This window comes from Homo sapiens, chromosome 13 (assembly GCF_000001405.40).
Source record: "Homo sapiens chromosome 13, GRCh38.p14 Primary Assembly".
Classification (NCBI taxonomy): domain Eukaryota; kingdom Metazoa; phylum Chordata; class Mammalia; order Primates; family Hominidae; genus Homo; species Homo sapiens.
This window is the reverse complement of record NC_000013.11, coordinates 70,616,589-70,643,378: the sequence shown is the minus strand read 5'-3', so window position 1 is coordinate 70,643,378 and position 26,790 is coordinate 70,616,589. Positions and strand designations below refer to the sequence as shown.

The 26,790-nt window shown below is 33.9% G+C and overlaps 1 annotated feature.

Moving 5' to 3' along the window:
* Nucleotides 12,489-13,464: an enhancer, noted in NCBI's record as "OCT4-NANOG hESC enhancer chr13:71204047-71205022 (GRCh37/hg19 assembly coordinates)". NCBI's record gives its function as "activates a minimal SCP1, AML or CMV promoter by ChIP-STARR-seq in naive H9 embryonic stem cells {active_cell/tissue: H9 hESC(naive)}" and the evidence as "EXISTENCE:reporter gene assay evidence [ECO:0000049][PMID:30033119]".

Genomic DNA, 26,790 nt, shown 5'->3' with positions numbered 1-26,790 from the left:
CAGCCTGTCTTTCCATTTATTTAAATCTTCTTTTAATTTCTGTCAACAATCTTTTGTAGTTTTCAGTAACCAAGTTTTGCATTTAAATTTACTCTTAAGTATTTCATTTTTTAAATGGTATTATAAGTTGAATACATTTTTAAATTTATATTTTGAATTCTTCATTGCTAGGGTATAGACAGTTATTTTTCAATATTAGTCATGATTCTTTTAATATGTGGTATAATTCACCAGTGAAGCCATCATGGCCTGAGTTTGTGTGTGTGTGTGTGTCGGGGTGGCAGGGGGGAGGGGGATATTTTAAAATTATAGATTTAATCTCTTTATTTGTTATAAGCCAGTTTATATTTTCTATTTCTTAAGTTACTTTTGGTAGTTTGTGTCTTTCTAGGACTTCGTTCGTTTCTTCTAAGTTATGTGGTGTCCTGGCATAGAGTTTCACAGTATTTCCTAATTGTTGTTTATACTTCCGTAAGTTTGGTAGCATTGCTCTCTTTCTTTTCTGATTTTGGTAATTTACATCTTCTCTTTTTAAATTGTATGGTTAATGTAGATGAAGACCTGTTAATTTGTTGTACTTTTTAAATACCAGATTTTGGGCAATCTTAGATTTTCTTTATGGTTTATACGTTTATCATTTAATTTATTTATGCTGTAATCATTATTGTTTCTTCTGTTTTCTGTATATACTTAGTTTGCCTTTGTTTTCCTAGTTTCTCAAGGTGGAAGGTTAAATTTGCTTTCAAATTTTAACTCTTCTTTATAGAATTTATAGCTATAAATGAGCTCTGTTTTAGCTGTATCTGATAAGTTTTACTTTGTTGTATTTTAATTTTCATTAATCACAAAGTATTTTCTATCTTTCATTGTGATTTTTTTAACCTATTGGTTATTTATGTTGCTTAATTTTTGCGCATTTGTGAAATTCTTAAATTTCTTTTTGTTCTTATTTTTAATTTAATTCCACTGTGGTCCAAGGACATATGTTGTACTTTTTCCATCTCTTTAACCTATTGTACTAGCATATGGTCTATTCTGAAAATATTCCAAAAGGTTTTGAGAAGAATGTATTTTTCTGATTTTTGGTGGAGTGTTCTATGGATTTTTATCAGGTGTAGATGGTTGATAGTGCTGTGCAAATATTGTGTTTTATTTTTGAGCTTCTGAAAAGCTATTACATTAGTTGTTTAAGTAGATTATTAAAATCTCCAAATACTAATTTTAAATTCCCTCTCTCAGTTTTGTCAGCTTTTGTTTCTTGTATTTTAGGGCTATATTGTCAGTTGCCTGTAGATTTATAATTATTACATCTCTTTAATACATTGACTTTTTGTCACCATGAAATGCCCCTCTTTAACTTTAATAACACTTGTTTGTTTTAACCTCATCTAATTTTAGTATAGCCAGTCCGGCTTTACTATCGTGGTGGTTGTTTTCACACTTCTAGCTTTTTCTTTTCAACTTATTATTTTTTTTTTAATCTAAAGTGCATCTTCTGGCTAGCTGTGGTGGCTCATGCCTGTAATTCCAGCACTTGGTGGGGGCATGGTGGTAGTATAACTTGAGCCCAGGAGTTGAAGACCATCAAGGGCAACACAGCAAAATGCCATCTTTAAAAATAAATAAATAAATAAATAAATAAGGAAAAATAAATAAAGTATGTTTTCTCCGCTAGAGTATAGTGGGAACATGTTTTATTTTTAAATCTAATGTAAAAATATCTGCCTTTGAATGGATTATTTTATCAATTCACATTTAATGTTATTATTAATATGATTTGATTCATATCTTCCATTTCTTTTTTGCCTAATATATATCTTCATCTATTTTTCTACCTTTGTTCTTCCTTTAGTGACTTATTTGTATTAAATGTGTATTTTCTGGAGCAACATTTTAATTATCTTCATGCTTTTTAGTTACAATTTTAAATTATTTTATTAATTATTTAAATTATTCCTAGAGCTTACAATATAATCTCAACTTATCAAAAACTTACAGATTTCTACTAACATAATTCAAGTGAAATATAGAAACTTTACTCCTTTATAGAATCATTCTCTCCAAACTTATGCTGTTATTATTACACATATTATGTGTATACATATTAAAAACCCTATGATCTATTTTTATAATTATTACTTTATATAATATTTGTATTTTTAAAAAGCTAAAAAAATAAAGGGCAACTGTATATTTAGAGAGTTTGTTGTATCAACCTTCTTAATTACAATTTCTGGTTCTCTCCATTTCCTCTGATATATTTAAGTTACATTTTGCTGTAATTTCCTTACATCAGTACAGCTTTGCTCAAGCCAACTTTTTTGTGCTTTTATTGGTAAATATGTTACATTTACATGTATCATATCCCAATAAGATAAATATATATATTGCTTATGCAATTGCCTCTTAAACAAGAATAAAAAGGATAAGACATATGTAATTATACTTTCTTTTGTAATTATATAATTTTCTTTATTGGTATTTGTTATTTTTTTGTGTACTTGAATGATCATCTGGTGTTATTTGCTTTTAGCTTAAAGAATTTCCTTTAAGTATTTCTTGCAGAGCAGGTCTGCCGGCAACACATTATATACATCTTTTTTGGTTTGGAAACATTTTTATTTTGTCTTCATGTTGGAAAGTTATAGTTGCTGGATACAGAATGCGTAACAGACAGGTGTTTTTTTTTTAACTTTTATCTCATTGAATATATTGTCCTTATGATTTCAGGTCTCCATTGTTTCTGATGAGAAGTCAGCTGTTAATCTTATTGGGGTTCACTTGTAGGTCTTAGCTACAGTTTCTCTCTGACTGCTTCAACATTTTTTGTTTTACCTTGCTTTTTCACACTTTGAGTTGGATAGGTTTAGATGTGATCTCTCTGTATTTATTCTATTTGGAATTTGTTTAGTTTCTTGGTTGCATAAAAGTTTGTTTTTTTTTCATCCATTTGACAATTTTTTTGCAAATATTTCTTCAAATATTTTTGACCTTTTCCTTTTTCTTCTGTTTTACTTACTCTTGTTAAATATATGTAGGCATGCTTAATGGTGTTTCATACTTCTCCAAGGATCTTTTATTTTTCATTGTTTTTATCTCTGTTTTTCAGTCTGCATAATATCAATTGATGTACCTTAAAGTCTTGCTGATTTCTTCTTCTCCCACCTGAAATACAATGTTGAGCCCTTCTAGGGAAATTTTTACTGTGGTGATTGTACTTTTTATCTCCAGAATTTTCATTAGGTTTTAAAACATAATTTCCATATTTTAATGATATTCTCCCTTTGATGAAACATTGTTACTATACCTTCCTTAATTATTTGGGCATGGTGTTCTTTAGATATGTGAACATATTTATAAAATTACAATAATATAATAACAGCTTTAAAATCTTTATCTGCCAACTCCAATATCTAGGTCACTTCAAAACATTTCTATTGACTTTATTTTTTCTTTTCGTCAAAGTTTCTTATTTTTTAATTGTTGTTCTTGTTATTTTGAATGTCTCATAACTTTTGTTCAAAACTAGACATTTTGGACAATTTATTGCAGCATTTCAGGATACTGATGCCCTAACCAAGATGCTAATGTTTACCTAGAAATTTAGTTATTTAATGACTTGGCCAAACTAACTATTTTACATCTTTTCCGATGGCTACATAGGCATCGCGTCTGGGTCAACAGAATTGCTAATAGTTGTGCTTCAGCTTTGTTGGCTAGTCCGATTGCTCTCCCTTACCATTAGATGTATGTGTGTTTGTATGTGTATGTGCACACACATGCTCATGTTTGTGGCTTACATACTGCCATGACAGTTCAAGTTTATGTTTTTTCTTTGTTTAGCCAGGAACTAGCGTTTAGATTTTCTCTCTCTAATTATTCCCAGGAGGACGCAGCTTTGAGTATGCATATATACTCTCAGACATCCAAGAATTAATGTGATTTTATTTTTAAGTCTGGCTTCCTAGAAATTACTCCTGGGTCAGAGTAGCTTGCTTTCAGCCAGTTGGGTCAGAGATTGTGCTTAATCCCCTAGTTCCAGTGAGGATTCCACTCTCTATTTATTGACCTACATGAATTATGGGGAAAGTTTTCAAGTATTCCCCATGACCTGTTCCAATTCCTCCTGAGTGAACACTGCTTAGTATTTATGCACAACGTTCCTGATCACAGAGGGTGACTGTGATCTCAAGACTGCTCTTCTTATTTGTGTCTTTTCCTGTTTCTCCCTGTTAAATTTCATATTGCTCTGCCTCTTCATCTGTAGCTACAGTATCGACTGCACTCTTTATCTTTATGGTTTTGAACAATGCTTTTGGAAGAAGGGGACTTCTTCTCCTTCGGGAAGAAGGGGCCAAGCTCTATTAATTGGCCCTGGTGGAGTAGTTCCTCGTTTTTTTGGCTTGCTCCTCCTGGCTTGGGACCTCCACTACACATACTAGCTGTGGTGTGAGTGTTCCTATAGCCCTTTGTTTCTGACCTACTGCATCTGGAGTAGAACTTATGCCCAACAAGTGAGGAATGGCTAGAGGAAGATAACCCTAGTCATCTCAGCTATGTCTTCCCAGAATAGAGCTTCTGTCATGCAGGGCCAGGGGAAATGGAAAACGCCAGCACTGTGCTCTCCCTGAGATAAAATTGTAACTCCATTCTGAAGTTAAAGAAAGAAGAAGCCTTCCCTTCTTTCTTGAGTACACCCATCTGAAGTAGAGGGTCAGGAATAGTTTCCATAAACTGAACCGGTTTATATGGACCAGAGTAGATTTCCTTGAATGAATATTCTCCCAATTGCTGTATATCTCTAAGCAACTTTTGAGAGGCTGCAGGTGCTTGTTTTACATATATATGTACATACACATATATATGTTTGTTGGGAAGAGTCTGCCATGCTCTTCACTCTGCCATTCTAGAATTGAGTCATATAACATACTTGTGTGTGTGTGTGATAGCTGACTACAGCTCATACCATAGTGTTCTCATTAAAATGTTCCAGGCACAAGGACAACCGATCCTAAAAAATGCAAAGACATCCTGAGAAAACGCTGTCTCACAACTAGATCCATAACAAACACAACTCTGTGGGCAATAAGGGTGGGAAAAGAGTGGAGGAATGGGTCATAAACATATTGTACAATGGAAAGCAATTACAATATACTGCTGAAAGAATCAAAAGCAAAACCAAAACAAAAAATGAAGTGGAGGACATAATATTTCCAATTACTATTTTAAAAATCTACTTAACTCATGGTTTACAAATTATAAATAAAAATTTAGGAAATATTTAATACAAATACGCCTGTTAGAACAGTTGTCAATATCTTTTGTGAGCTGTTAAACCATTTATAAAATTCAGGGGAATCATGTTTTAAATAGCAAATTATTCTGAGTTTTAAAAATGTATTTCCCATAGCTTCAGAGAAATATAAACTACCTCTGGCCTTACTCTCTGTGCATATTAAACTCTGGTTAAGAATATTCCTTAGTTGATAGTTTGTTCTTCCTGAAATGTTGCCTCTAGAGAAATTCCTAATGACAGCCACTCCTCTAAGCACTTTATTACAACTGCTTATCAATTAATTAATGAACAGAGGAATATCTTTAATGAAGCTTCTCACCTTTTTGGGAAGGCCAAATTAAAATCAGAAATCCCCTCTAGTGTGAAATAACAATTTTCCACTTTAAGCTAAATGATGTTATCAAAACCAAAGCGCCAACTGGTGTGTTTTCATTTACTGGCACGTTTTTCAGTGTCCATGATTTCCAAAAAGTATGGCACCGCGTGTGTGAGTGTGTTTGTGTGTGTGTGTCTGTGTACGTATGTATACCCATACACATATAAGTATATATATATATAACAATTATATACATATACACACACATATGTGTGTATGTATATACAGACATACACATACCCACGTGTGTGTGTGTGTGTGTGTGTGTGTGTGTGTATTTGGTCTAAATACTTTTCACATAACTCATTAGAGTAAAATCACAAGCCATAGAGAACATGGTTCTGTGTCAGCCATCATGGAACAGAGATAAAAAATAAATCTCTCAATATAAAGAATTTCATCCCACAGCTGTATAGCTACCTACAAATTTAGTATGATAAGGAATTAACCAGATGGCATAAAAATTGCAAAATTACGGGCTGGGTGCCGTGGCTTACGCCTGTAATCCCAGCACTTTGGGAGGCCGAGACGGGAGGATCACGAGGTCAGGGGATTGAGACCATACTGGCTACCACGGTGAAACCCCGTCAATACTAAAAATACAAAAAAAATTAACCGGGCGTGGTGGTGGGCGCCTGTAGTCCCAGCTACTCGGGAGGCTGAGGCAGGAGAATGGCGTGAACCTGGGAGGCGGAGCTTGCAGTGAGCCGAGATCGCGCCACTGCACTCCAGCGTGGGCGACAGAGCAAGACTCCGTCCCCCCCCCCCACCAAAAAAAATTGCAAAATTAACAAGGAATTTCTGTTCCAATATAGAATCATATTTCTAACAGAATGTATTTGTTTCTGGTTTTCTTTCAAAATAATTCCGATTATTATATCAACATTTAAAAAAAATCTTTAAAGCTTTCCATCTGTTTTCTTTTTAAGCCATGTTTCATTATCATTATCATCAAAGCATCAAAGTTATACAATCTGTTGTATACAAAATTAGACACATAGTCTTCCTTCTAAGAGGTTCCAGTTAAGAACAGCCCTGACTTATCTAAATGTAACATATGACAACACTCATATTATTTTTGAATTTTTTTAGTTTGCAAAGTTTCTTCCCACTGTAGAGAGAAAATTATGTTATTAATAATACTGTCCAGTATATTTCTTTCCTGTACCTGTAAAGGAATTTCCATGTCAATTTTCTTTTCTCTTTCTTTTCTCTAAATATGTGGTGTGTTTTTTTCTGTGGCTAATGAAAAATTGAAGATCCTTGAATGTCATGTTTGAGACTTTAGATAGTATTTACTGGAAATTAGTAGTTGTCAAATATGTTTTTAATCACAAGAATATGAAAAAATCTGCTCTTTTTTGGGTAAATCGTAATGCATTGGAAAATATAATTAAAGTTACCTACTCTAAAATCAAATGAAAAACTACTCTTTTGAGATTTATCTTTAAAAGTAGTGACAAACTAAGGACAGTGAGTATATTAACAATATTTATAATCTCGAACTTACTTTAACACATTTGAAATTTTGTTTCTGATAAGAGCTATTGCTTTCTTGCTCATTTTCCTGATTAAGGTACAGTAAAATATGCATATAACAATAAAATTGTGCTGTATTAAATATTTCTTATGCATAACATCCTTTTTATTAATTAATATTTATGTGTGTGTGTTAATAATACCAGAAGTATTATTGAAGTCACATTTGAAACTATGTGAAATAATTTGAAATTCTATCAGCAGATTACTGAGAAAAAGGAAGAAATGCGAGATTCAAAGAAGGGTTGGATTTTCCAAGGTTTCAGGATGCTGTTTATCCAAGGAATCCATTTGGAAACTATACCTCTTAATTCAGGATTCTGCCAAGACAATTTTGTTGAAGCTTCTCATAATTTCTCTGTATGTCTGTGTATTTGGGTTAGCTAAACTAATTTTAATTATTAAATTTTAATCCCATAATTTAAATATTAATAATGTATTTTACCCACTTAAGTTAGCTACGCTGGTTTTCTGTCTCTTTTGTCTTCTCATAAAATTGAAATACTTGAAAGTAGTGGCAAAAATAGATTTTAATCAAGGCTTTTCTATATCTTTATGCTGTATTATTTTGGAAGATACAGATAAATCAGTCTTTGGCTCCCAAACAAACACACAATTGAATGGAAAGATGAATAAATATAACTAAGTAAATGTAATAAATGCTCCAAAAGACATTCATTCAGAATGAGTTATTATTTTTGACAATTATGTACCTCCTTTTCAAAGTTCTACTTTTCATATTTTGTTTTCACAAGTCCATATGCAAATTATACATTTATTAACAAAATATTTCCCTTACTATTTCATTTTTATTAAGAAAATAATTATTTGCTTATAAGCAACACATAGCAAAAGACAATACAAATTTGATTTTGGATATGAAATACACTGTTGACTTTTTAATTGATACTAATAGTATTTAAATACAATATTTGGATGGTTCTATTTATAACAGCTAATAATTGCTTATTGAAATTAATGAAATCTGATCTACAGCAAACATTCCATTGAAATGTTTTAGTAATGATTCATTTCTACTAGAATGAATGGCATGTGTAGTTTATAGATCATGTCGTTACAGAAGGAAGGGACCTATTAGATCAGTAAGTCTAGGCTGTCTGCCTTGGTGGAATATAGTCCCTAAATAGAGGACAAAGAATTTGATCTTAGCCAAAAGGCCATGAACAAAAGCTATTTTAATTTATTGCAATTAAAATGAATGGGATTCAATCTAACACATTTATGAGGATGCGATAACTATCGAATCACATTCATTTCAGTGGGGTGTGTTAGTCATCCAATTCTATTCATTTCCATGGGGATCCGTTATTTATCACATCACATTTATTTAAATGGGGATTCATTAGCTAAAAAATCTAATTAGTTTCCATGTGCATGCATTAGCTATCATGTCATCCTTCCTTTCAAAGACAATTCTCTGGTTATCAAATCCCATGCACTTATGTTTGGATTGGATTCTAGAGTTTGAAAAAGCTGTTACTCTTAATTAAATGATGGCAATAAACTGTTATGGTTATTATACTGTTGAATATTGAAGAGTATTTTCTAAATATCCAAAGACATAGTCACCCCAATTTTCAATAGCTGAACGAAATGTCCTTTCAAACAATAAAACATTTAATTTAGCAGGTGTGCAAAGGACTGGTATGATTTTATAAAGACGTGGTATTATCTTTTCAGCTCAGGGTGTATCACTTTTTTTTCCTGTAGTCTAGCCTTTAAGTGAAGTTTTCATGTTCTGAGGGATTTTCAAAATGAAGGAAAAATGTCAGCCTGCTAAGACACCATAAGATTAGGTCCTTAGATTTATGAATTATGTACACTAAACCCATGCAATAGTATATGCATCATTATAATTATAATTGGATTGATTCTATTATTATTTCTTGGCCACAATTTCACCTTCTCAATTGTTTTTTAATTCATGCTTTAGGGATACCAGAACTTTCTTATGTCAGGTTTCCTTGTACCAAGTTAAAAAAATCACAGGATATTATCCATTGTTGAGATAGATTAAGCAACAAATTAAGTTACTTAGGCCAACATATATGCCTTTCTTAAATTATCCTGATAAATCTCCAATATATGCAGACAACTATAGCTTTCGTTGGCCTTAAAATATATTATATTTCAAGTAATAAAATGACTTGTCACATTAGTTTATAAAAAGTACATAAACTTTCTATAATGTGAAAATATTATGAGTAATATCTTCAGCTTGTGTTACTGCAAGAAGCCTCTTGGATTATTATGTGTTTACAACTTTGAGATAGTTATTGAATTATTTAGCTCTTTTTCAGTCGTAATACCATATTTCACTAATTGGAGGACCGTGAACATTGTATTTCATTTACTTTAAATCTAGCAATGCCATTATTTTCATGAAACCAGTTGTTTTTTTAGAAAAATACATGAAAAAGTTAAGAATTATATGTAGGTACTTCTTTATATAAGCATAAAAGTAAAATTTTGTGTGCCAGATACTAATCATTTTAGATTATTTTTCAAATTCAATCTCTTTAAGTTAAAATATATGTAATTATGTCTATTTATTTAATACTAGTTTAATATTATAATTTTATATTAACCATATTTTAAAAATAAAAAACAATAGAATAAAAACAAATTAAAAATAAATTTATAGTGACATGTTGAAATATCAGAATATACAGAATTGAATTTCATTAATGCCATTTATAATCTCTGAGACCTAGGCAACATACTTTGCTAGAGTTTCTATTTCTTCATCTGTGAAACAGGAGTAAATCAAAGCTACTTCCGAGATTGTTGTAAGAATTATATGATATAATCCTTGTACATTGCTGTTGAAGCTCAGAAAATGATACCCCAAAGTATGGTGCATTGGCACGCTGAGTATTTTCAATTAAAGGCAATTGAAAGGCCTCAGAAGCTCCTTCAGAATCAAGATTTCTCTAAACCTCTTTTATTTTTCTTCTTCCAAACTCAGGGAAGGACTCTCACTGGCGTTCTCTTTTCTGACTGAGGAAAGTTCTTCCAAAAGGAATGCAATTGCCTTGAGCTCCATTACTAGGAAGCTCATCCAAAAACAGTGAAGATTAATCACCAGAGGAGACATTAAAAGTCATCATTATTTTCAGATAAACCTTTGCCTATTCTTCAGGAGGCTATCCCAACACAATTTTATTAGCTGAGGAAATTTATCTGCATAATACAACAACCTTTGCTTATCATGTAGTTTGTCCTGTTTTCCTCCTGTAACGTATCACCACCTCCCCACAAATTCTCAAGCTTCTAGTCCTTTATGCTATATAATCAACAATCTGGCCCCTCCTTTGAGTGACATATTCTGTGAGGCTCCTCTGCACATGCATGTTATTAAAAGGTTTTTTGTTTGTTTATTTTGTTTGTTTGTTTGTTTTTACCGTTAATCTGTCTATTGTCAGTTTATTTCAGCAGACTCAATTACTGAAACTTCAGAAGGAAAGTTTAAACTTCCCTACACTGCTTACCATAGTACTTGTATGCATGCCTCCATAATACCTGCATAAATCTGTAGTACCTGTAAGTATATAGTATGTGCTTAATATGTTAGCTATTTCATTTCTAGTAAATTTTTAAATGATAAAAACTCAACTAATAATCAACCATAAACCAGGAAGGATTTTTTTTCATTTTTTCTTATGTAAAATAGATAAGATCAGCCATATTTTAAAGTGTAATACCATTATAACTCAGCAATATCAGTCATTTTGGCAGGATTATCAATATTTTATATATTCACTTATGTATGGAAAATGTATATTTGTTTTTGTTTGTTTGTTCATCTTGGGATTGAGTCTCCATCAACCAGGCTGGAGTGCAGTGGCACGATCTTGGCTCACTGTAACCTCTGCCTCCCAGGTTCAAGCAAGTCTCCTGCCTCAGCTTCCCAATTAGCTGGGATTACAGGTGCCTGCCACCACGCCCGGCTAATTTTTGTATTTTTAGTAGAGACAGGGTTTCACCATGTTGGCCAGGCTGGTCTCGAACTCCTGACCTCAAGTGATCCTCCTGTCTCAGCCTCCCAAAGTGCTGGGATTACAGGAGTGAGCCAGTGTGCCCGGCTGTAAAATGTCTATTTGTAACTGAAGCAAATAAAGATAATCCCAGGCTTATCTACAATTATTTTGAAACGTAGAAGTTTTCTTCTCATAGATATAATATTCAAATTGTAGTTGTAATCTTCATCTCAGTAAAACATGGCATTGATGGGAGGATATTGAGTGGTTGTAGAAACCATGGAGATAGATTAGCATGTGAATGATGCCCATGGGACCTTAGATTTTCTCCTTTCTTGTGAGTAAACATGGAGGTGCTAAAAGGGTTAATAAGCTAACCAAAGTCTTGAACTGGAGTAAAATGTCTCTTTATTCAGATAATTCAGCACTAAGGTGAAATGATCAGTGCCTTGCTCTAAGGAAGTAGGTACAACCATGTTTCCTGATGGACTATTTGTCTACATATGGTCAACTAGTGGTGTTAAAGAGCATCCTCCATTAAGTCTCATAAGCCTCATTTATCCTTACCATCTATCTTTTAAATTTATTACCTAAATGTTATGTTGAACAGAAACAGAGGGAGCTGAGTGCAGTGGGTGGCTCACGCCTGTAATCCTAGCACTTTGGGAGGCCAAGGTGGGTGGATCACTTGTGGTCAGGTGTTCGAGACCAGCCTGGCCAACATGGTGAAACCCCGTCTCTACTAAAATTACAAAAAGTAGCTGGGCGTATTGGCATGCGCCGGTATTCCTAGCTACTCAGGAGGCTGAGGCAGGAGAATTGCTTGAACCCGGGAGGTGGAGGTTGCAGTGAGCCACGATGGCACAACTGCACTCCAGCATGGGCGACTTCATCTCAAAAAAAAAAAAAAAAAAAGGAAACAGAGAGAAAAGATGAGACTTTGAAAGACTGAGTCTTTCAAGAACCTCAAGAACCTGAATGTCAAAGGGGAAGTGTAAAGTATTGAATCTAATGTAGATTATCAACTTTATCAGATTTGATCTTCCTCCTCCCTCCCATGCCTGTGAAGTATAAGATTAATTATGGAAAAATACAGAAACTTTATTTTTCTTGAACATCATGGATTTGTATAGTTGATCTTAATCCTATAATACTTATTTAATTCATTACATATCCTACACATTGGTTTGGCAAACTTGCATTCCAGATATCATGAGCTTTTAGAGTTACACAACCTTTAAACTCACGTCCCACTTTAATAAATGGTGGGAGTGAATATTTAGTTAGATTTTCTTCTCAATCTATTTTTAGGAATCCTCAAATAGGCGACTTTGAAATTTGCAGATTTATCCACAATGTAACTTATCTCATTACTATTTTTCTTTCATAAAAATCATCTATTTTATTTAATGTTTGTAATTTGCTCACTTATATTTAATATTCACTATTCAATACATAAAATTTTAAAATGTTCAATCAAGATTCAATGCCAAAAGGGCTACAGATCACATTGACCAACAGCGCCTTAACATTCCTCTTAGCTTAACTGACAGCCAATAGATTTCTCCCTGATACAGACCTATATGGCTTCTACTTCCTTGGAGCACTTACTTTAAAAAGCTTTCCATTGTAAATTTTTTTCTCTACTCCTTTAAGATGTAAATCTTCTTCCAGTCTCCTGCCAGTTTTCCAACCCAGGAATTTTTCTCTAGGACTCAAGAGCCATCTCTTTGAAATGTAATCATCAACAATGATAGATTCCCTATCTCCCAGTCTCTATGGGAGGGTAGAAACCAAACTTTGATAGTCAGCAATTAGTCAGCACAAAGGGCCTGATCACAGTAACTAACGTCCCCCCTCAGGCTGTCTTCCTGTGTTTTCCCACTAGCTCAACATAGTACTTAAAAACCTCCCTAGTTTTTGCTTACACAGTTCAGTCTCTCTACCCTATTGCAGTAGTCTTGAAGAAAGTCTTCCTAGTCTAACATCATCCAGTGTAATTTTTCTTTGGTGGTGTTTGTCTTATTCATGACTGTGTACCCATTAGTTAGCAGATTTTGTTAATGAGTATCTATTCTGTACTATGCTAGAAATACAATAACAAGATGTAGGCCCATCTCTTCTCTCAATGATCTCACTGTCTGCTGGAAGGTACAGGCCTATAAACCATATAGAGAATACAGTCACTACTACCATATAGAGAATACATTCACTACTTTACCCGAATTAACCTATGAACCTATGCATTCCCTAGATATTAGTGATTGACCCACGAAAGTTCATGGAAGAAACACTAAAATATAAACAGAAACCATAGCCAGAAATCCAGAAGCCTATTTGAGAGAATTACAGGGCAGACATTCACTGCCTTTTGGCTTCCCTGTTAGGAGAAAGGCAGTTATTCTAAAATATGACCCTTCAAGTTTTCCTGGAAGAGAAAAAAAATGGTGATGAGCAGACAGGGAAATATCTCTGGACTTAATACAGTTCCATCTTTGGGGCAAAGAAAAAATTATAATTCTGGGACAGTGGGAAGATCAGACTTTAGTTATTTTAGTCTGTATCATGGATATAATACTTCAAAGACCATGTTTATATTGCATTCAAGTACTTATTTTTAGCCTATCTCAGAAAAGAAGGCAGAATTCATAGCATGATGAAAAATTATAAAGTTATAAGATCTGCATTCTAGTCCAAGTCCTTTCAGGAGTAACTTTAAGACATTGGGAGAATCCACTATCTATACGAATTTCTCAATATTCTCAGTTATGAACTGAGAAATACTGAAGTACCTAAATCCAAGATTCCATGTATATTAAAAATATTTAACTATTTGTGATTCCCGAAAGCAGACACACTCAAAATATTTTATTATATGTCTGGTGACTATTTTTTGTTTGTATTTTAGTGATTTTATTTAATATTAATTATTTGGCCCCTTCCCCTCCACTGCCACATAAAGCTCTTAAAATTCTGGTTCTAATCTATCTCTGTAGCTTCCTCTCTGTCAACAGCCCTCTGTTATTCCCTGTGATCCATTCATGCTGAATTTTTCAAGAGTGTCTCACATGCCGGGGCCTTTTATATTCCCTATGATGGAACTCTCTGACCATCTTTTTTTTGCCTGACAAAACTCTTCTACTTCCTGACACAACTCAACTTCTCTCTCCTCTGTTAATCAGCCTTGACACTACTGCTCCAGGCAAATGCCAGTGGCTGCGTTTCCTGTCAATGGTTAAACAAAAATTATGGGAGCCCATTGTTTTGGACTGAGTTCCTACACCGGGTCCCAACAGATCAGACCAAACCAAAATGGAGTCACTCATGCTAAATGCCACACAATGAAACTGAAATTGGAAGGCAGCAAATAAATCTCCACACAGACCAGTTTGTTTTTTCCTGAAAACAGGAGATTCCAGTTTACCTGAGTCATTGTAATAAGGAACACCCCTTTGCTTGAACCCTTAGGAAAAAGTAGCTTGAAGTAACCTGATGTTAACCAAGGAGCCTTTTCCTGATGTTCTGTTGCCTTGTTCCCATCTTATAAAACCCATTGCTCTGCTACTGCTCAGTGGAGCTCTAATTCTGTTTTGCAGAACGAAGGCTTAACCATTTCATGAATTGCAAATAAAAGCCCATTAGATCCGTATTATGTCTTTTGACTCTTTGTTTCCACATAGTTGGGTCATACCTCTATAAAAACACGCTGTAAAACAAGATAAAGTTGTGGCATCATGAAAATAGTTAACTCTGTAGTCAGAGAAGCCCAATTCCCAGTTGGAGCATTGTGCCTTTGAGCTATGCCTAGAAGGCCAATTTATTGAATCTCTCTTAATCTTAGTTTCTTAACATTCAAAAGGAAATACATATTTCTGCCTCACAATGTTATTATTAGTACTATATGTAATGGCTCTAACACACAGTAAATGCCCAATAAATGATGTTTTTCAAAATGTCTGTCAGTAGAAGAAAAAAAAACATTTATCTTATTCGTGCTTTGTGATTTAGCTAAACAAAATTCTCTTGTATATCTTCTATATCACGGAGGCTACTTTTATGTTTTCATCATGCAAACTAACTAGAGTTCTGATGTCATACTCCATCTTGGCAGAAATATTGTAATTGTAACCTGTCAAGGTATTTGCCACTTAGTTTATGCAAGAGTCTCCATTGTTAAACCTCCTTCTACCTCATCTTCTCTATTCCAACCCTTGGGCTTAGAGGGATCATTTATGCCCTCTGCTATTCCAAAAGTGACAGTCTTCACTCTGCCCTGGGGTTTCCTTCATCACTAGAATTGACTCATTAGACAGCATTAAAATTCATGGTGGTGGTAACAAGGAATCTTCAGCAATTATCAGGAATAACCTCCACTTGGCAAGGAATCCATTGTAGTAAATAACTTTTCACTGAAAAACCATTAAATAAAATGTCATGTAGATGTTTAACCATGGAATAAGAGATAACAATAGTAAAAATAAGTGAAGACTGGAACCTCAAATTCAAACAGTTTGTGTAACAAATGTGTTGAAACATCGAGTAGTTGCACTAGCAACATGGAAAGGTGCCATCTATATCCTAAGGGGTTATGACAATAAAACTCCTGATCTGTTGATGTGTTTTGGTTATGAACCCAGTAACAGTTTTAATTGTCTTATAATTATAGGAGGGGATATGGAATTAGAAAAGAAGGGTCTCTGTTACACATCTGTTGACTATGCAGTACGGCTAGGAAGGGCTTTCATTTTTAGGACAAAATATTCAGTTCAATTATCAATAAGCACTTATTAATTAGCAGTAAATTTAATATAATAAAAAGCTAACACATGGGTAGGAGCAATGAAAGGCTTTGAAATATAGTATTATTCCGGCCGGGCGCGGACCATCCTGGCTAACACGGTGAAACCCCGTCTCTACCAAAAATACAAAAAACTAGCCGGGCGTGGTGGTGGGTGTCTGTAGTCCCAGCTACTCTGGAGGCTGAGGCAGGAGAAGGGCGTGAACCCGGGAGGCGGAGCTTGCAGTGAGCGGAGATCGCGCCACTGCATTCCAGCGTGGGCGACAGAGCGAGACTCCGTCTCAAAAAAAAATATATATATACTATGTATAGTATATATATATATATATATAGTATTATTCCCTACAATGTTAAAATATATTATATATATGTGTGTATATATATATACACACTATAGTGTGTGTGTGTGTATTCAACATATATAATATCACGATTTTATTATATAGGTATTTTATGTCAGCATCTTCGTCATAACAAAATTGTAACATTTATGCATACAGCAACAAATGAGAATGCAAAAATAGACCTTAATTTCAGAGTCAGAATATTCCTGCCTTCTATTGGTAACAGTTAGATATTTGCGAAAGAACCATAGTCTACAACTAAATTCTCAAAGACAGAACCATATGAACTATAATTTTATATGCTTTTAATTGGCAATTTTTAATACCTCATACTGTAATGGTGACTTTTTTATGCTAGAATACCTCCTCCGATTTTTCCTCCTGAGAAGGTGCACCACATATCATATGGCTGATTCCTGGCATTTTAATTTCAACCACCCTGGCTTTCGAAAAACACTGTACAACTCACAGTTTCTGTTTTTCTATCACTGTAACAGCTTTTTGAGATATGCAGCCATACACACTGTGCATTTCAGATTAGAATCTGTCCTCCACCCACCGCCAACATTTTTAATCATTTAGCTTTCTAGGAGCTTCATCATTTCTGTTAATGGAGAGAAGACATTTAAACATGTATGTAATAATTGTATTTGCAGTCTGATCCCTACTCTAACTCTAGCACAAGGACATTTGGTCATACATATTATGGCACCTTCTTTACCGTATCGCTTACTATTCGTTAAACAAGAGAGATTATTTTTTCATCTCTAAGATGATAAAATAACACACATATTTGGGGATTAAATTACTTGACATATCTGTCTCAGAAATAATTTCCTTTAGATAGCTGTACTATTTACTTTCTAGTGATTAACAACTCATTCAGAAAACACATTTTGTCATTTGAATTGGCGATTTTAATTTTGCCAGAGATTTTGAAACCAGCTGTACAAATTGACTTGAAACAGTTTTGTATTTTTCCTTAACAGTAGAGTCTCAACCTTTCCAACTGTTTTTAAAGTGACAAAGGACAATTATAAAATTCCACTAATATTTTTGTGTTGGTTATTTTAATAAAGATTGTGCTTATCTTTTCACTCAAAATAACAAGGGGACTCAAAATAACAGTAAATGATCATAATAAAATCACTTTTCTAAAAATAATTCCCTATGTAACTATACCCCTCCAAGTAATATTTCAATGTAGATATAACCAATATAGGTTATTTTCCCTCGACATCATTTTGGGAGATAATTTTTAAAAATTAACATTTCACACAATGTTCAATATGAACCTTATGTTTTAATTCAACTGAGTAACTGTTGTATTCAAGAAAGAAATAATAAAATTTTTAAAGCTTTTACTTTTCAAAAGATTAGTTTTCAAAAATAGAAAGTAGTTTATCCTTTCTACAAATATTCACTGCCATCATCACCTTTTCATGTATTAGTAATTGAGATATTTTTGATACATCTTAATCTATAGATTGATTTGAAAAAATATATAAATCTATTTCGAATACACATTTGTTTTAATGCATATATGAGGAGAATCAGAGTGATTCCTCTCTCAAACTTATAAAAATTTAAAACCCAAGCATATGACCAATAGAGAGTTTGAAATTTATGCCAAATCTGGTTTCAAATACACTTTCTCTGCACATTTTTCTGATCCTGTTAGTTTTATTTCCTCTGGGAGGATAATGCAAAAAACTTGGAACTTACTGTTGATTTTATTTTCTATGTGTTAATATAAATATATACATGTTGAGCTAATAACATGAAGTGAATATATTTTTTTGGTCTAGAAATGAGTTTCACAATAAGAGAAAAAATATTGGGCCGGGCACGGTGGCTCACGCCTGTAATCCCAGCACTTTGGGAGGCCAAGGCAGGTGGATCATGAGGTCAGGAGATCGAGACCATCCTGGCTAACATGGAGAAACCCCGTCTCTACTAAAAATACGAAAATGAGGCGGGCGTGGTGGCATGTGCCCGTAGTCCCAGCTACTCGGGAGGCTGAGGCAGGACAATCACTTGAACCTGGGAGGCAGAGGTTGCAGTGAGCCGAGATCACGCTATTGCACTCCAACCTGGGTGACAGAGTGAGACTCTGTCTCAAAAAAAATAAACAATACAAAATATTGAAGAATAATTTCTCAATCTGTACTGCTGGATTGGTGAAAATATATTTACTTAGAAAAACATGTGATTATGGCAAATTGTGGAATGATGAGATGGAAAATATAGGCCCAAATTTAAAACTATGGCAAAAAGAAAACATTTTAAAATTCATTTCCAGCAGACTAGAATTTAGTCTTCAAAGACTCCAAAGTCAAGTCATTAAATAATAAGGCAGTTTTTATTGGGTAGAAATGCGGGATATGCAATATAATTAGATAGTAGGCCCTGGAGGATTTACAGGATTTAGGAATTTTTTAGAGTTAAAGAGCTAAATAAGTCAGTATTAAAAGACCTACCCTTGATATGAATAAATCCCACATCTGTAAGCTGTTTTGGAATTTTGCTTTGAACCTTGTGAGATGCTGAAATGCAACAGTCCTTTCCCTCCAGTGGGCTTCATTTATCTTTAGTTATATTGGACAGTTGTGTGGTGTGCCTTTCCACTCTCCCTTTCTCTTTATATATATATTAAATGTCTTTTTCTTTAAATGTATGTACCAAATCATTTAAATTAAGTGCTAACATATTTTCAATACCAAGAGATTATTTTCAGATTTTAAATGTTGCATCACAGAAATTTTGTACCACTTTCTTTCTCTTGATTTAAAATGGAAATATATTTCTTTCACAACTTGCCTTCTCAACATAGGTATAATTTTTCAAAGTATTTATAATGAACTTTTAATTTAGGAAGGGAAAACAAAAACAATCTGATTCAACATGTGATAGGGAATTTTTTAGGCACAAAATTCAATAACGGACCAAAATACGTTTTGTACTCCGATAGGCATTCTGAGGCATTGTTTAGATTTATTATATTTCTCTCCAGTTCAATCTCATCTTGTAGCTTTTCTTGTCTCCCATGGGCCCATTTCTCTTGGTTTGCTTTGTCTTCAGGTCTATATCTGGAAATCTCCTTTCTTTATTTTCCCTTATTCTTTCTGTACAAGAGGTTTCTTTATTTAAGCGCTTTCTAGTCATTTTAATGTTTTTAAACAAATAAAAGAGGGCTGCGTGCATGTATTAATCCATTTTTAATAGCCACTACTGAAAGACGGGGCATTTTCTTGGTGTTGTTTTGAATTGCTATTATCTAAAAAGAGGTTTATTTTTATCAATATCTATTGTGACATCCAGTTAAAATGACAAAGACTCCCACGCTGAGCAAACTGAAGCAACCCTTGAGTTCACTGAATAAAAGCCTGAGACTGGCAGCAGAGGATTTTTAAAATATATTTTTGTTCATATTCTATTGATGCTATGGTTCCCCTTAAATAATTTTCATGTACTATTAAGAGAACATGGTATTTAGTATACAGATAACTTTTTCACAATGTTATTAAGTTATGTAAGAGTTGGTGCATTGCTGCCATCTATGGACAGAAAAGTGAATATTAATTTTAACTCTAAATTGACATTTTTACATATATGTACATTACCTTTTATAAACCTCTAGAGAATAATTATACATTTATTAATACATGCAGAGAGAGTCTACTTACTAACATCTATTAAAGTTCTGAAAATAATTAATCTGAGAGAAACCAATTCAGGGAGCACAGGTACCAATATCATAGCACTGTATGGCTATAGTGTATTAGCTGACAAATATTTTCACATACCCATCTTTCAAGATTATACAGGGAAGAAATACAATTATTTATTAGCCTCACTTTAGAAATCAAGACGCTGAGGCTAAGAGAGTGTCAGTGATTTTGTCAAGTCACTGAACTGATCAAGGAAAGAATTTGCTTGAAAGCGTCTACTGGTCCATTCTCTGGGATCTCTTTGTAATCCTTCACAGTGCCTGGACTTTCATAACACTTACTCCTTAGTCCTTGCTCAAGTAAACCGTTAAGTATTGGCCATTGTTACATAATCAGAGCTCTGTTCATTCATTCGCAAATATTTGAGGATCTACTCAGAAGCAGAAAGTGTTCTAGGAATTGAGAGACTGCTGGGATCAGGAAAGACAAGGTCCCTGAATTCTTTAAGTTCACGTTTTAGTGCAGAGAGATAGAACAAAAGTGTGTACATAAATGGATGGTCAAGATCACTTCAGAAAGTGGTAAGACCTATTCAAAAAGTATAACTGAGTGATATGATAGCAAAGATCAGGCATTGCTAATCATTATGGAAATATAAAAGAAATAAAAGTGCAGTCAATCCTTTCAGGAAATTATAACCAAATTAATAAGGCAAAACAAATGATGCTATAAATTATGGTACAATACAACAATATGAATATCAGAAAATAGTTTGAAAAAGCACGTCACTGTATTTATATCTCACCCTGTGCTTTACAGGTACCGAATTAATAAAGCTCAGTACTGGCTAGAATGCTAAAGGATGGCTTCATAAAGGTCAGAGGTCTCAGCGAAATCACAAAAATTGTTATGACTACATTACTGAGGCAGAGGAAACATTTTTTGCAAAGGCTTGAATCTGGGGAATAATGAACAAATGAACCTTGTAGGATAAAGATACAGAAGCATATATATTTTCCAACATAGGCATTTAGAGCAACCTCAGGCTTTTTTAGATATTGCATTTCCCAAACCTTGCAGGTTTCTATTTTTGGCCTTGGCTCAGTTTCTAGAACCACATTTCTAAAAGAGTCTTATTTTGATCAAATTGGAGTTGTCTTTTTAAAAAAACAAAAATCCCATAATATTGATTATTTTTATGTGTGTATTCTGATTTACATTCCTGAAATACTTAAGAAGTACTGATTGAAAAATATAGCGAGGAAATTAGCATGTAAAAGGAAATATAACGTATCAAGTAAAAAATTAAGTAAATCAAGTAAATATCTGCTAATATGTGGTGGTCTCTGTATGATGTGGGGATTTCTTATTGAAATATTTCATCCTTCTTGTAACTGAATGTAACTTTCTATAATATGTCATAAAATATCTTATTTTTGTTTATTGATGAATTCAACTTCAATTCCAATAACAATAATTGATTACTTAGAAAAATATATGCACAGAGTCTTTGTATTCTAGGAAACCATAAACTAGTATGAGAAATTACGTATTTTTTGGAAATAAAAGATACAATTTTATTTCCTTGTTGTTAAGGGCTCCTCATTCCATTTCTAAAGTGCATCATTGAGGAATGTAACACTTTTCTAAATGTAAAGAATTCAGATCAAGTAGCCATAAGCAAATACATGGTAACTTTCTTCCTCTTTATTATGTTAGGTATGAAGGTAGGCACATAGATGTTTGAGATAGTGCCAATAGTTTTAAATGATTTGTAGATATATATTTACTTCCAAGTTACGTTCACAGAGTAGACATTTATCATTGAACTGGTTAATTGGTTCAGTGTAAATAATCCACCCTGAATCTAAAACTCAAAGTGGTTCTTTGGGTATGTAATTGAGCCAATGAATTGACAAATTGTCAGTTCATCTCTCTATGCAATTTGGCTGCACTTGACTCTCTGTATAAAGCAATGATACTAATTGAAAGCACTAGTACATTTAGCCATTACTCAGACACGACACACAGCAATAAACCAAATTTTCTAGTTTTATTCATCTATCATGAATAATATTATTGCTATGAAATGCATTATGCAAGCTATGTTCTATTTTCTTCAAAAATTACATAAAATGAAATCTGAACCACATATTTTTACAGCACATGCTATAATGAGCATTTTTTATTCAAGTCCTTTCAATGTTTTGCCCTGCTATTGAAACCTGACTGTTTTTTTTACTCCATTACTAACTTAAAATGATTGACATTGTTAAGAAAAGGACTATAATATACTGCATCTGAACTTTTTGATTTAAGTATTACTGTAAATAATCCTGCGCATGCCAGGGAAGCATGGATAACACTTCCTTCAGTTCTATTTCTAATTTTCTTAAAATACCAGGAGATGCTCTGCATTTTGTTCCTCCACATCAACTTTGTATCCATTATTTCCTCTTGTTTTTCTGAGTATGTCTGATTTCTTGCAACATTTGTTTTCTTATAGTTTTGTGATATACACACATACAGAGACATATGTAAATCAATTTAAGAGTAGGGTGTAGTAAAAGAAAGTTTTCTCATAGAAGGTATATTTCTGCTTTGAGGATTATTCATTAAAGTCTAATATATTATATATGTATTAAAGTCTAATATAGTTTATATATATATATATATAGAGAGAGAGAGAGAGAGAGAGATACTATGTATCAGTCTAATATATTAAAGATAAAGGGCAGGGAAGAAGGGAGGCAGGGAGTGAGGGAGAATGTTCCAGGACAAGAAATGAAAAATGAGAAAGACACATATGCAAAAATATAAAGGCATGGATAAGTTTAAGGTCTTATAGCAGCATCAATTAATATCAATTAATTTCTGGAGCATAAGATGCATGAAGAAAAATACAGAAATATGAACCCATAGAGTGAGATGGACGCTGAATCATGCAAGCCATTGAATGACATGCTGAGAAATATAGAGTTTATCATTTTTCAAAGGCATGGAGAGAAGAGATGGAAGGAAATACTTTGAAATATTTTGTCGAGAAATTATGAGATGGTTAGATTCTACTTGAGAAAAATCATTTGATTGAAGTATGGACAAGGGATTGAGTGGAGTCAGATAAATTAATAGTCCAGGTTATGATGACCTAATGTACTATCTTTAGGTATTTAAAAGAGGAGAGAGAAGTGTGGAACACTTAGATGACACAATCATCCAGGCCTGTTTACCAAATAAATGTGAGAGCTAAACAAGGCAGAAGGTTTCTAGGATAACCTTGTATTTACCGGCTTGAGCAGTTAGATGGATGATGATATCCTTAACTGTAATAAATAATATGCAAAAGGAACAGGTTTGGAGAAAAAAATGATTAATTCCTTTTAAAATATGTCAAATGTCCTAAATATGAAAAAAAAAAAACCCATATACAGTTAATTTTATCACCCAGGGAAAATAACAACTAAATATGTGCACAAATATCATTTTGAAACATCAGATGTGGGGGGGTATGAAACTCTGCCTCCCAGGTTCACGCCATTCTCCTGCCTCAGCCTCCTGTGTAGCTGGGACTACAGGCGCCCACCACCACGCCCGGGTAATTTTTTTTTTTTTTGTATTTTTTAGTAGAGACGGGGTTTCACCGTTTTAGCCAGGATATTCTCGAGCTCCTGACCTCGTGATCCGCCCGCCTCGGCCTCCCAAAGTGCTAGGATTACAGGTGTGAGCCACCGCCCCCAGCCTTCATAGCTTTTAATCTATTTTTTCAGGATGGTTGTGCCAAAGATTCACTTTTATTTCATTAGGGTGCAAACGTACAGTGACCACTGTCACAGAAAATATTCAAAGACCTTACAATCTACCAAAAACAATATAGCATGAAAATTGTTTTTATAGGGCTTTTAGGATATTTCCTAATTAATTTTATTTATTCATTTTTAAACATTACAGCTTTTTTTTAGATATGGGGCCAAATGTGCAAGCATGTTACATGAGAATATTGAATGATGTTGAGGCTTGGGGGTATGAATCCCAACAACCAGGTAGTAAGCATAGTACCCAATTAGTAGTTTTTCAACCTATGCCCCCTGCCTGCCTCTCCCTTCAAGTAGTTTGTAGTATCTTTGCTCCCATAATTACGTCCACGTGTGTTCCAAGTTTAGCTCCCACTTATAAGTGAGAACAAGTTCAATTTGGTTTTCAGTGCCTGTATTAATTCACTTAGGATTGTGGCCTCCATCTGCATCCATGTTGTTGCAAAAAACATAACTTCATTATCTTTATGGCTTCATAGTATTCCATGGTGCATATGCACCACATTTTCTTTATTCAATATACCATTGAGGAACACCTGGTTGATCCCATGTTTTTGCTATTGTTAATAGGGCAACAATGAACATAAGAATGCATATGAGTGTCTTTTTGATAGAATAACCTATTTTCCTTTGGTTATATACCCAGTAATGGGATTGCTGGGTCAAATGGTAACTCTGTGTTAAATTCTTTGAGAAATCTCCAGACTGCTTTCTACAGTGGCTGAACTAATTTACATTCCTAGCAACAGTGTATAAGCAGTCCCTTTTCTCTGCAGCTTCTCCAGCACCTGTTTTACATTTATTTTTATATATTTTTTTTATTTTTTTATTTTCTTGAGGCAGAGTCTCGCTCTGGCGCCCAGGCTAGAGTACAGTGGCCCGATCTCGGCTCACTGCATGCTCCGCCTCCTGGGTTCACGCCATTCTCCTGCCTCAGCCTCCCTAGTAGCTGGGACTACAGGCACCCGCCACCACACCCAGCTAATTTTTTTGTATTTTTAGTAGAGATGGGGTTTCATCGTGTTAGCCAGGATGGTCTCAATCTCCTGACCTCGTTATCCACCCGCCTCAGCCTCCCAAAGTGCTGGGATTACAGGCGTGAGCCACCACCCAGGCCCTATTTTTATTTTTTAGTGTAGCCATTCTGACTGGTGTGAGATGGTATCTCATTGTGGTTTTGATTTGTATTTCTCTGATTAGTGATGCTGAGCAGTTTTTCATATGTTTGTTAGTCACTTGTATGTCTTATTTCGACAAGTATCTGTTCATGTCCTTTGCCCATTTTTTAATGAAGTTACTTTTGTTTTGCTCGCAGCTTTTTATTTAGTCATTATGACAGATTTAGTCACATACTGTGGTTTTTATATTTCTCTCCTGGTAGATAATGTTAAACATATTTTCATGTACTTATTTGCCATCTGGTTTCCTTTTCAGTAAAATGTCCATTCATGTTTGGAATTTTGGGGGACTACAGACAATTTATGTTATTGCAGTAAACCAAAGGGAAGAGGATGGCAGCCAATACTAGAAAAAGACTAAGGGTAAGGAGGACAAAGATTCAATTTTAATACTGGTTCTTTGGAGGTGAGAATGTGAAGATGAGTAAATTCATGTATGACAGCCAGGTTTCTGATCAACTCATTATAAATTGAGTGGCCAATTCAATTGGTTGAGGAGGAAGTATAAGGGAAGGCATAAGAAGAAGAGAATAATCAAGAGATTTTAAAAAGAAGTTTGACATAGCTATAGAGATATGTGAGGGCACTTCATTATTTTATTCAAGAAATCGAGGTATCATTTTAGTATGTGATTCAATGTATTCATTGGATTTGGTTATTTCAATTTGTCATTAAAGTGTGATAGCCTAGGAATTGGTTGAGCTTTTCTGAAAAGGTGACTTAAGATGGAAAAATAAATGGCTAAAAACAAGAGACAAAAGCAGATAATCCACACAGGAACATTTTAAAATATATTGTACAATAAACACTTTCATCCCTTGTAATCAAAGAATAGAGCTTGATAGTCAGTCTGCCGATCAATACCTAATTCCTCATGTTTATTACATGGATTACTACATAATTGTAAAACCCTTCTTCAAACACAAAAACATAAATCATGTTCCTACATGTAACATGACATAGAAAATGAAGAGTACTTCTTTCTAATTTCATCTGCATATTTCAAATAAGAGTACTGTGAGGCTACAGTATCTAGACATTTGAAACAATTCTATGCAACAACTGGGGAAATTAGCGTCTTCTATACAAAGAAAGTGGAATACCACCCAATTTTTTTTACAACTTTGCTATATAAGAGCATGTAGTTTTGGGTTCTTGAACCATAGGAAAATAAGCTACAGATTAAAAGATCATAGACACCAAAAGACAAATACTGTCACAGGTGAATCCTTCCACGGTGAACCCTGCCACAAAGTCTGCAAGTTGCTAATGATTCAGTTGATGTTAACTTGATAACACTGGGCAAATGATTGTGCTCAGGAGGAGCTGAATAAGGTTTAAAGGTTAATGGCTGCTTGCGTAAGTATGCACATTGTATTTATATAGACATCAATTACCTTTATAAAGAATTGTTCCGGTGAGACTAGTAATTTCTAGTTACCAGGCTTCAAGCCTAGTCCTAGGATAAAAAGTAGGTCAGAGTATCATAAGAAATGTTCATACCATATTATCTTCATTGATGTTGGTGACTGTTTATGTGTTTAACAAATTTCAAAGTGAAACAAAATTTATACAATTTTAAAATACTTGTAAATTTCAAATATGCAAAGCATCAACTAAAACTTTGTGGGGTGATCAAAATAAAATACTGCAATGAACAATAGCAAGGCTTAAAGACTAGTGTGTTCTCTATAGTAGAGGCTAATTTAAATCTGCTAATTACTCAGAATAGTGAACACTATTTTGCATAATGTGCATTATTATTGAAATATGCT